Genomic DNA, 12,478 nt, shown 5'->3' with positions numbered 1-12,478 from the left:
AAGTTTCTTGCCTTAAAAAAATGTGAATGTAGTGATGTGGAACTAACACATCAACCTGCACTGTGGGAAAGAAGAAATTTTCTCCCTTTGCTTTGCTGGAAGCTGGAGGGTGCTTATCCCCCTTGCATTAGTGCACAAAATTCTTGATTTTACTTTCTCTAAAGGATTCAGAGATTACACTTTGTCTCTTTGTGATTATGGACATTTAACATTATCATGTACATGCACTTTCTCTTGTTAAATAAAAAAGAAAAATCTTACAAAATGGAATTAAGTCAGGAAAGGATGGATTTCCGATGTTTTGGTGTTTAGTGTTACAAGGAGAGGAGAGAAAGAATGGAGCGGAAGCAGAAATGATAATGGCTTTAAGTGGGTATTTTGGTGACATGGCTTCTTCTTGTGCATGGGTAATTGAAGTTGAACTTATATTTTTAAAACAGAATTCTCTTCTAGTGATGACTTGAGCTCTACTAATTGCAAAATCATCCAAAATATATAAGATCCTTGAAATTGACATTCTCTGTTTTAATTTTGTCCCTTTTCATTTGTAAATTCTACTTTTCTTTTATGGGAAAGGAAAGAAGATTCTCAGTTTTAAACCCTGAAAATACATATATGTTTCTTTTGTTTTTACAATAAAGTTAAATGTATACACAAAAGATTTGATACTGTTTTCCTCAGAACAGATAAACTTGAGATCTTCCAAATTTCATTTATAAGTAGTGTTGTCAAACTTTAAAGGCAAATAAAGATGTTTTCAAACAAGCAAAAACTGAGACTTTATCACTAGCTGACTTGCGCCAGAAGAAATATTAAAGTAAAGGGAGCTCTTCATGGAGAAGGAAAAGGAATCCTGATGGAAACATGGAAATGCAGAAAGGAGTGAAGAGCAGTGAAGGGTAACCATATTGGTGAATAACATATTGTTGGTGTTGGACAATAATAATGTTGGTTTAAAAATATATGCAATTTATATAATAAGAACAATTTGAATGGCTGGAGGGAAGTAACTGTAATTAAAGCATTGCGGGTTTCTAGTAAGTAAATTTATTAAGTAAATTTAACTAGATTATCTAACTAAAATGATACTAAAATATGGTTTTAACTAAAAAGTTAATACAAGGGAAAAATAGGATGATAAAATCATTTTATTAATCCAAAAAGAAGGCAAGGAATGAGGAGAAAGACAACTGTGTCATATAGAAAATAGTAACATGGTAAGTATAAACCCAATTAGATCAATCATTGTGCTAAATTTAAATGGACTAAGTATTTCAATTTAAAGACTTATACTATTAATGAATTGGACCAAAGAACAAAGCAAAGCTGATGCCTCTTTAGAGACAATTTTAAAACTTAAAGACTCAGAAAGCCTGAAAATAAAAGAATGAAACAAATATATTATGCAAAGACAAATGAAATTAGGTTTAACCTTATTAATATTTGATAAAATGCACTTTAAGGAAGAAACATTACTAGAAATAAAGAGGGTCAATACATTCGAAAATAGATATGTTCCGAATGTGAATGCGAAAACTAAAATAATTAGCAGTAGAAATAGGCGAATGAATAATCCTAATGGTAGACTTAAGCACAACTTTCTCAATTGCTGATAGAATAAACAGGAACAAATAACCTGGAAAGGACATATAGATAATTCAATCAATACAATTAATACAAAAGACCTAATTGACAGATACAGAATACTGTGTCCAGTGACAGTTGGTCAAGTAACGCACATGGAACACTTACCAAATTAACTATATGCTGAGTCATAGAGTGCAAGTCAACTGCATCAAAAGATGCAGTCTTGGGGGATGGGCCAAAATGGTGGACTAGAGACAGCTCATGTGCACCATTGACAGAAAGGAAACAAAAGGGCTGGTGAATACTGACCCTGCTGGCCAGCCATCTGAGAAGCCATGTGGGGATCCATCAAGGCAGCAGGGAGACACAGAGAGTAGAGAGGAATAAAGCTGGACACCAGTCTGTCTAGGTTCAGTGCAGGAGAACCTCTCGGACATGGAAAAGGGTGAGTGAATGAGAGCCCCCTGAGGAATTCACACTTTCCATAGGGACCTCTGCAAGACTGGAAACGGGAGAATCCCCCTGGACTCCCAGCAGCCTGCCATCTTCCTTCTGGACTGAGGCAGAGAGCCGTCAGGATGTTTTTCATGGGCAACTCTTTTGAGTCCAAGGGGACTTTAATAAACCTCGGGTCCTGGAGCAGACCACCACTGGCACTGTAGCCTCAATAGAGGCTTCAGTCATGGGGCCTGGGAGCAGTAAGATTGCTCTACTCCCCCTTCACTGGATGGGGCTTAGTGCCAACTTCTGGCCCAGTGGTCCTGCTTCTGCCTGAACTTGGTGCAGCTGCAACCTTCTGCTGTCCTCGGAAGTACCCAGATGGTAGGGTGGGAGCCCCCACCCACCACTGCCACTAGTAGCCAGTCAGGCAATACGTGATAGAGCTGCCAGCTAGTCAGTGGTCCCACTTCTGTCTGAACTTAGCTGGCAGGCACAACCTTCTGTTTTCCTGAGAAACAATGAGACAGCAGGCAGGGCAGGTGACTTCACCCTCCTCCACCTCTCATAGCCAGATGAGCCACACCCATTAGAACTTCCGGCCCAGTGGTCCTGCTTCTGCCTAAATTCTATGGGCAGGTGCGCCCCTGTGAAGCACTCAGACAGCAGAGTAGGGCTGACCTGGCAAGGATATGGCCTGTCTGCCAACTGTGGTTCCTACCTGAGAGAGCCCTGTGGACCAGAACACTCAACACCAGGAACATCCAGATTCATAAAATGAGTTCTTATAGATCTACAAAGAGACTTAGATAACCACACAATAATACTGGGAGACTTCAACGCCCCACTTGACAGTATTAGATCATTGAGACAAAACTATCAGTGACGTTCGGGACCTGAACTCAACACTTGATCAGATAGGGCCAACAGACATCTATGGAACTCTCCACCCAGAAATAACAGAATATACATTTTTCTCGTCTGCAGGTGGTACATACTCTAAAATTGACCACATAGGCATAAAACAATCCTCAGCAAATTAAAAAAGAAAAAAAAACCCTAAAATCATAGCAAACACACTTTCAGACCACAGTGCGATGCAAGTAGAAATTAATACAAACAAAATCACTCAAAGCCACACAACTATATGGAAATTAAACAACTTGCTCCTGAATGACTTTTGTATAAACAATGAAATTAAGGCCAAAATCAAGAAATTCTTTGAAACTAATGTGAACGAAGATACAACATACCAGAATCTTGGCGATACAGCTAAAGCAGTGTTAAGAGTGAACTTTATGGTGCTAAACATTCAAATAAAAAAGTTAGAAAGTGGCTCATGCCTGTAATCCCAGTACTTTGGGAGACCGAGGCAGGTGGATCGCTTGAGGTCAGGAGTTCGAGAACAGCCTGGCCAACATAACGAAACCCTGTGTCTACTAAAAATACAAAAATTAGCTGGGCATGGTGGTGGGTGCCTGTAATCCCAGGTATTTGGGAGGCTGAAGCAGGAGAATTACTTGAACCCAGAAGGCGGAGGTTGCGGCGAGCTGAGAACGTGTCACTCTGGGTGACACAGTGAGACTCTGTCTCAAAAAAAAAGTTAGAAAGCTCCCAAATGAACAACCTAACATCACATCTAGAAAAACTAGAGAAACAAAAGCAAACCAACCCCAAAGCTAGCAGAATACAAGAAATAACCAAAAATCAGATTTGAATGGTAGGAAACAGATGTGAAAAACCATACAGAAGATCAAAGGGTCTAGAAGCTGGTTCTCTGAAAGCATAAATGAGGTCAATGGACCACTAGTTAGACTAATAAGGAAAAAAGGAGAAGATTTAAATTAGCACAATCAGAAATGACAAAGGAGACATTACCACCAACCCCACAGAAACACAAAAAACCCTCAGAGACAATTATGAAAACCTCTATGCACACAAATTAGAAAGCCTAGAAGAAATGGATAAATTGCTGGAGACATATAATCTTCCAAGATTGAACCAGGAAGAAATGGAATCTTTGAACAGATTCAATAATGAGTTTAGAAACTGAATCAGTAATAAAAAGCCTAAAAACCAGAAAAAGCCCGAGACCAGATGGATTCACAATCAAATTCTGCCAGATGTATACAGAAGAGCTGGTGCCATTCCTACTGAAACTATTACAAAAAATTTTAGGAAATTTCATTCTGGACATAGGCCCTGTCAAAGACTTTATGATGAAGATGTGATAACCAATTGCATCAAAAACAAAAATTGACAAATGGGGCCTAGTGAAACTAAAGAGCTTCTGCACCATAAAAGAAACTATGAACAGTGTAAACAGACAGCCTGCAGAAGGGGAGAAAATATTTACTAACTACACATCTGACAAAATTCTAATATCCAGAATGTATAAGGTACTTAAACAAATTAACAAGCAAAAACCAAACAACCCCATTTAAAGGTGGACAAATGATATGAACAGATACTTTTCAAAAGAGGACATACACATAGCCAACTAGCATATGAAAAAATGCTCAACATCACTAATCATTAGAGATATGCAAATCAAAACCACAATGAGATACCATCCCACACCAGTCAGAATGGCTATTACTAAAAAGTAAACAAAAACAAAAACATGCTGGTGAGGTTGTGGGAAAAAGGGAATTCTTATACACTGCTGGTGGAAATGTAAATAAGTTCAGCCATTGTGGAAACCAGTGTGGTGATTTCTCAATGAACTAAAAACAGATGTATCATTTGACTCAGCATTCCCATTATTGGGTGTATACCCAAAGAAATTGATATGGTTTAGATATACGTTCCTACCCAAATCATGTCAATTTGTGATTTCCCAATTGGAGATAGGGCCTAGTGGGAGGTGATTGGATCATGGGGTGAGTTTCTCATGAATGGTTTAGCACCATCCCCTTAGTACTGTTCTTATGATAGTGAGTTCTCCTGAGATCTGTTCATTTAAAAGTGTGTAACAATTCCCCCTACTCTCTCTTGCTCCTGCTGTGGCCATGTGAGGTGCCTGCTCCTTTTTCACCTTCAGCCATGATTGTACATTTCCTGAGGCCTCCCCAGAAGCTAAGCAGATGCCAGCACCATGCTTTCTGTACAGCCTGTGGAACCATGAGCCAATTAAATCTCTTTTCTTTATAAATTACCCAGGCTCAGATATTTCTGTATTGCAGTGTGAGAATGGACTAATACAGGAATATAAATCATTATACCTTAAAGATGCATGCACACGTATGTTCATCACAGCACTATTCACAGTAGCAAAGTAATGGAATCAGCCTGCATGCCCATCAATGGTAGACTAGATAAAGAAAATGTACACTATGGAATACTATGCAGCCATAAAAAAGAACTAGATCATGCCTTTGTAGCAACATGGGTGGAGCTGGTGAACTAATGCAGGAACAGAAAATCAAATACCACATGTGTCACTTCTAAGTGAGATAAACACTGAGTAGACATGAGTAGACATGGAGAAAAAGAAGGGAACAACAGACATCAGGGCCTACTTGAGGAGGGAGAGGATTGAAAAACTATTGTATACTATGCTTATTTCCCAAGCCACAAAATAATCTGTATACCAAACCGTGTAACACACAGTTTATCTATATAAGAAACTTGTGTGTGCATATGTCCCTGAACCTAAAATAAAACTTAAAAAAAGATGCAATCTCCATAAAAATCCTGGAAAGTTTATTTTTATTAATTTTTTTTGCAAGGAGGGTGATGGTATGGAAATTGATTTTATAATTTATGTAAAAAGCTAAGGTGCCATCAAGGCAGCTTTGAAGTAAAAAAACAAAACTGGAGGACTTATACAACCAGATTTATAAAGGGACTTTGGAATTGTCATGAGAATAGACAAATAGAAACTGTTGTCGACAAAAATAACATTAATGATATAGTGGGAAAAGTATGTCATTTTCAAGGATTATATTAGATCAAAATTATATCCTCATGGAAAAATAGTATTTTGACCCCTAATTCACATCATATATGAAAAATCAACTTAATATTATTGTAAATGTAAACATATCAGATGAAAGCAATAAACCTTTCAAAGAAATTTTCTAAGAGAATACTTTTATGAACGTAAAGACAGGTTTCTTAAATAAGCACAATAAACACTAACCTTAAGTGGAAAAATGATAAATTGGTGAACACTAAAATTAAGAACTCTTTATCAGAAGATACTACAAAGAGAATGAAAGAGCAAGTCACAGAGGATGATAAGATATTTGTAATACATTTCTGAAAAAAGGATTTGTATCCAGAATATAGTAAGAACTATAAAAATCAATTTAAAAAAAAGAAAAATGGGCAAAATACTTGAACAAGGATGTCATACAAGAAGATGTCCAGATGGCCAATGAACATGAAAAGATATTTAACTTTATTAGTTATCTGGGAAATGCGAATCAAAAGCGCAAGATGCCACCATATGTTCACCAAAATGACTAAAATTAAAAAGACAATGTCAAATGTTTGCAAACATCATCTGAAACTCTCATATACTGCTTCTGGGTTTTTTAATTGGTCACATCACTTTGGAAATCTATCTAGTGGTATCTACTAGAGCTGAATATATGCATATGATATGATTCAGCAGTTCCACTAGACAGATATTAACTAGAACACGTTACTAAAAGATTTGTACAAGAACCTACATAGCAGCAGTATCAGGAGTTGTCTCAAGCTAGAAGTAACACAAATGTCCGTATACTAGTAAATGGACAAATACATTCTGGTTTATCATAAAATGGAATATTATAAAGATTTTATGATAATATTTCTATTATGCTTAGCAACATGGGTGAATCTCAGTAACAAAGCCTTGAGTGAAATAAGCTAGAGAAAATGGAATACATCTGTTTGATTCCCTTTAGCTAAAGTTTGAAAGCAGGTGAAGCTAATCTATAAAATTATAAATCAGGATTGTGGTTACCTCACTGTGAGGGTAGTGATTAGAAGTAGATATCTGGGGAGACTGTTTCTTGATCTGTGTGATAGCTATATGGCTGTGTTTACTTTGTGAGAATTCATTGAGATGTATGCACCAAGTTTCTGCGCCTTTCAGTAATTGTGTGACACTTCAATAAAAAGTTTAGTTAAAATAATAAGACAGAACAACAATAGGATAAAATGTCGGCCGGGCGCGGTGGCTCACGCCTGTAATCCCAGCACTTTGGGAGGCCGAGGCGGGCGGATCACGAGGTCAGGAGATCGAGACCATCCCGGCTAAAACGGTGAAACCCCGTCTCTACTAAAAATACAAAAAATTAGCCGGGCGTAGTGGCGGGCGCCTGTAGTCCCAGCTACTTGGGAGGCTGAGGCAGGAGAATGGCGTGAACCCGGGAGGCGGAGCTTGCAGTGAGCCGAGATTGCGCCACTGCACTCCAGCCTGGGCGACAGAGCGAGACTCCGTCTCAAAAAAAAAAAAAAAAAAAAAAAAGGATAAAATGTCTAGGCTGTGGGTTTCTGCTTTAGCTGGGCTGTCAAGTTGTGGTAGGACCTAAATAATAAGTGTAGCGGCCATCTGAAGAAGAACTAGGTGAAGAAACCAGATTGTAGCAGAGATGACAATGAAGTCAGATTGTTCAAAGGACAGAAACAAAGCAGCTAGGCTAATGGTTAGTGGATGAGAGACCAGTAGTGGTGTGTAGGATTAGAGAGGCAATTCTAGATTAGATAATGAGGTTTATTCTGGTGGTAGAAGGAAGTCATTTAAGGGATTTGAGCAGGAGACTGATGAGATTTGATTTATGTCTTGAGAAGGTCTTTGTGTCTGCCTCGTGGAGAACAGGTAGAGAGGCAAGAGTGGAGCAGGGAGACCACCTAGATGTCTGTTGCTGTAGTCAAGGAGTGATTTGATGGTGGCTTGGAGTTGGGCCCTAACAGTAGATTTGGTGAGAAGTGGTTGGCTTCCAGTTGTGTGTTGAAGGTAACTAACACTGATGGGGCTTGCTGATGGATTGTGTATTGAAAGAGAAGAGTCAGCCAGGCGCAGTGGCTCACGCCTGTAATCCCAGCACTTTGAGAGGCCAAGGCGGGTGGATCACGAGTTCAGGAATTCAAGACCAGCCTGGCAAACATAGTGAAACCCCGTCTCCACTAAAAATACAAAAATTAGCCAGGCGTGGTGGCGGGCGCCTGTAGTCCCAGCTACTTGGGAGGCTGAGGCAGGAAAATCGCTTGAACCCAGGAAGTGGAGGTTGCAGTGAGCCGAGATCAGGCCACTGCACTCCAGCTTGGTCAACAAAGTGAGACTTCATCTCATAAAAAAAAAAAAAAGAAAGAGAAGAGTCAAGAATGACTTTTAAGTATTTGGCTTAAGCTATATGAGTGGAAGGTGATGACATGTCTGAGATAGGGCAGTTATATAAGACTGAGACTGAGAGGGATGACAAGGTGGGGTAGACTATGTTGTAGACTTTTGAAGGAAGGGCATTGTCTTTTTATTACCTTATTATTATCTTTACTCCCCAGGTCTTTGCAGAGTATCTAGAACATAAATATAATTGAATAAAAGTTCATTTCATATTCATTATTCAACAAATCATTCATATTGAATAAATACATTGCATAAATGTATAGCTATTTTTACCATTGGCGTTCTTAAAAAATAAGTTACTTAAAGGTTAAAAAAAGGAAACAACTGATTAACTTCCTTAGTATTTTAATTCTCTGAGCCTTGCCTACTTTATAGAGATTTTTCTTTTCTTTTTCATGATGATGTTGATTTGACTGAAATATAGTCTTTAAAGGAGCAGATTGGTTGGATATTAAACTGGACATTTTGTTTACATGTTTTTCTCATTCTTTGCAGTTATTATGTGATTACAGCTGTCCTGCTGTTGGGAACTTGGTTCAGTACCAGGTTTCCAATGTGTTTTAGTTTTGGGAAAAAATGTTTTCAATTGTTTAAAATCTTTTGTTTTCTTTATTGTTTATGGAAGTCCTTTTAGGTGTTTGGAACAAATAATTCTTTTTACCAAATGTTTTTCTTTTGCAGATGATAACATTTTGTTATGGGGTCCAAATGGAACCACTTAGTGTAGACCTTGGTGGAAAAATACCACCTATGAAGCCTTATAGAATGCTGGAACTCCTAAAACAAATGTCATAGTGCATTCTTCCTGACATTAGTCCTCTAGTTAGGGAAAATGCAAAGCAATCGAATGTTTCATGTCTTCTGGAAGTTCTGTGTTTTGTGGTTGTCCTTTATCTGCCATTCATAAGATGGGTCCTACCTAAATATGCCAGCCAATTTCTGGTCATTCAGCAAAACCTGAGGTGTGATTAAAGAATGCTTGGAATTAGAAGCCAAATTGTTTGACTAAAAGAAAAAAAAACACATAACTTTTGTGTTATTGGAGTACTTCCATTCCCTTTGTGGTTCTGATCACAACTTATAGAACTGGAGGAATTTTTTTTTTTTTTCTTTCGGTGATAGGGTCTTGCTCTGTCTCCCGACTGGAGTGCAGTGGTGTGATCTCAGCTCACTGCAGCCTCTGCCTCCTGGATTCAAGCAATTCTCCTGCCTCAGCCTCGTGAGTAGCTGGGATCACAGGCATGTGCCACCATGCCTGGCTAAGTTTTGTATTTTTAGTAGAGATGGGGTTTCACCATGTTGGACAGACTGGTCTTGAACTCCTGGCCTCAAATGATCTGCCCACCTCGGCCTCTCAAAATGCTGGCATTACAGGCATGAACCACCATGCCTGGCTGGGTAGAACTAGAGGAATTTTATCAGATAGATGTAGTTGATTGCAACTCCAACTCCAACTTGTTAAATAATGAGGAAGGACATTATGTCAAATAAGAGGAAGTTCAGTAGTCAAGCAGGCTTCAGGGCTGGTGGATTAATAACTTAATGTTACCCAAGTTTTTTCCACCTCTTCACCTTTCTACCTTGGTGGAGGCTTAATCCTCAAGCTAGTGGCAGGTATCAGGTAGGTTGCAGACAAGATAGTGTCTGTAAGGAATAGGGGTACCTTTTGAAGAATCTTCTTCTCCTAGTAGATCTCCTCTAATATGCCAGAGGTGGGTAATGTGTCGTATGTCTTTTCTTTTCTTTTTTACTTTTTTTTTTTTTTTTTTTTTTGATACGGAGTCTTGCTCTGTCGCCCAGGCTGGAGTACAGTGGCGCGATCTCGGCTCACTGCAAGCTCGCCCTCCCGGGTTCAGGCCATTCTCCTGCCTCAGCCTCTCGAGTAGCCCACCATCGTGCCTGGGTAATTTTTTGTATTTTTAGTAGAGAGGGGGTTTCACCATGTTAGCCAGGATGGTCTCGATCTCCTGACCTCGTGATCCACCCGACTCGCTGGGATTACAGGCATGAGCCACCGCGCCCGGCCAGTGTTTCTTTTTTTGAACTGGGAAAGGGAAAGAGATGAAAGAGATTGCTTTTATTCCAGTCAGGCATAACCTAGAGCTGGGAAAGGTCAGCTTTTTATCAGACTTCATAGGAAAGAGTAGGTATATGAATAAATTTAATGTTCTTTGAAGGAGGAGGATGGTCAGGGTGTACACTCAGAAGTAGTGTCCCCCATGAAAATGAACACATTTGTTATTTTTCATTCAACAAATATGTCTTCGATGTTTACTCTTTCTTAGATATTTTGTACTGGGTGCTGGATTTACTTAGAAAGATAAAAAGTATCGGGCAGAGAAGGTAAAGCTTAAAGCCTGGTAAGCAGTCCAATATTTGTATCTTTCATTATTTCTATGTTATACAAATGTTTTGATTGGGGAGCATAGAAAGCATACTTAATGAAAGTGTTTTTAGTTGTAGGAACTATAAAAGAACATTTCTTTTATGCATTTTTAGGGGTTAAAGCAAGTGTTTCAAGTAGAGAGAAAGTGTAAATGAAGGTAGGAAAAGTGTAAATTAAGGGAGATACAAATATCAACCAGGTTATGTTTTCAAAAATGCTTATTTTTCATTACATATCATCACACATGATGTAAAAAATTATAGCAATACATACGACATTAATGTCCCACATTATTTTTTTTGTGTATTCACTCTTGCTGATATTTTTGTGTGCATTTCTATGTATATATGAGACCAATGGGATCCCTATATAAATCTTTTAAAGTAACTCTTATTTCAATATATGCAGTAGTAATATTGCTTCTCTGATATGTGGTCATGAAGAGATTTGTTTTTTCACTAATAGATTGGGCATAAATGCAGGGGGCATTTGTGAATTTTTCATAGCAGTTTTATTAAGATTTATACACCACAAAATTTACCCTTTTAAATGTGTAATTCATTAGTTTTCAGTATATTTATAGAGTGTGCAGTTACCCTCACTGTCTAATTTTAGAATATTTTCATCACTCCAAAAAGAAGCCCTGTACCCTTTAGCAATTATTTTTGAATATTTTATATATTTCATTAATATCTTGTGCAAAGTTTCATTTGAAGAGCTATGATTCTCTAAGTAATCTTCTAAACACATTAAGTCCTTATATTAAAATTTCAGTTAACTTCTTTTTTTTATTATACTTTAAGTTCTAGGGTACATGTGCACAATGTGCAGACTTATTACACATGTATACACGTGCCATCTTGGTGTGCTGCACCCATCAACTCATTATTTACATTAGGTATATCTCCTAATGCTATCCCTCCCCCCTCCCCCCACCCCACAACAGGCACCGGTGTGTGATGTTGCCCTTCCTGTGTCCTTGTTAACTTCTTAGAACCAGTTTCAGATAAGTATTTTGGATTCTTAGAAGGATCTCCAAGAGATGAATGTGTGTACTTTTAGAAGTAAAACCATTAGCAGTGCAGAAAATTTTTGTGTGGATTGATATCAGTTTTTAGTATTTATTGCATAAATAAAAATAAGAGTTGCATTAAACTAGTGGTAGTCAGGTTTCCTATGTTTTTAGATTTCTAATTGTATACTAGAAAAAGAAAACATTTAGCAAAATAAACGAAAATCAACTTTAAGAAAGTGCAATGTGGAGATGATTAATTGATCTTTATTGTACCTTCTAACACTATAATACTTAATAATTCTGTTTGCTTTACATTGAGAGAAAAAAATGAAGGCAGAAGGGGAAAATGTAAGTAATGTGCTTGCATTTAAACTTTTCATGTTTCCTACAATAACACTTTAAAAGAAACTAATTTAACCTTAAGCATACAAATGGCCACTGTCCACTATGGTAGCAACTGGTTACATATGGCTATTGAGCACTTGAGATCCAGCGAGTACTACAGGGGACTGAATTTTTAACTTTATTTTAGCTTTATTTAATTTTAAAAACTGAGGCAATGTAAAATATGTTTTTACCAAACAGCTTTATTCTTTGGTAGGACTACATTTTAGTTTACTGTTGCATTGTGTGAGATATAACTGTATTGTAGGGTGTGTATGAGGCACGTACGTTGTTTTGAAAATTATATCTATCACTGATTTAATTG

General features: G+C 37.9%; 1 protein-coding gene across 22 annotated transcripts in view, besides 1 other annotated feature; it reads left to right on the top strand.

Moving 5' to 3' along the window:
* Window positions 1–12,478, top strand: part of PRDM5 (PR/SET domain 5) — a 238,436-nt gene that overhangs the window by 27,451 nt on the left and 198,507 nt on the right. The window lies entirely within an intron of this gene.
* Window positions 9,633–9,813: a silencer, noted in NCBI's record as "fragment chr4:121806618-121806798 (GRCh37/hg19 assembly coordinates)". NCBI's record gives its function as "represses an EF-1alpha promoter that drives an FKBP-Casp9 reporter gene in an ReSE screen in HepG2 liver carcinoma cells {active_cell/tissue: HepG2}" and the evidence as "EXISTENCE:reporter gene assay evidence [ECO:0000049][PMID:32094911]".

This window comes from Homo sapiens, chromosome 4, assembly GCF_000001405.40.
Source record: "Homo sapiens chromosome 4, GRCh38.p14 Primary Assembly".
NCBI classification, from domain to species: Eukaryota; Metazoa; Chordata; class Mammalia; order Primates; family Hominidae; genus Homo; species Homo sapiens.
This window is presented reverse-complemented; position numbering and strand designations above follow the sequence as displayed.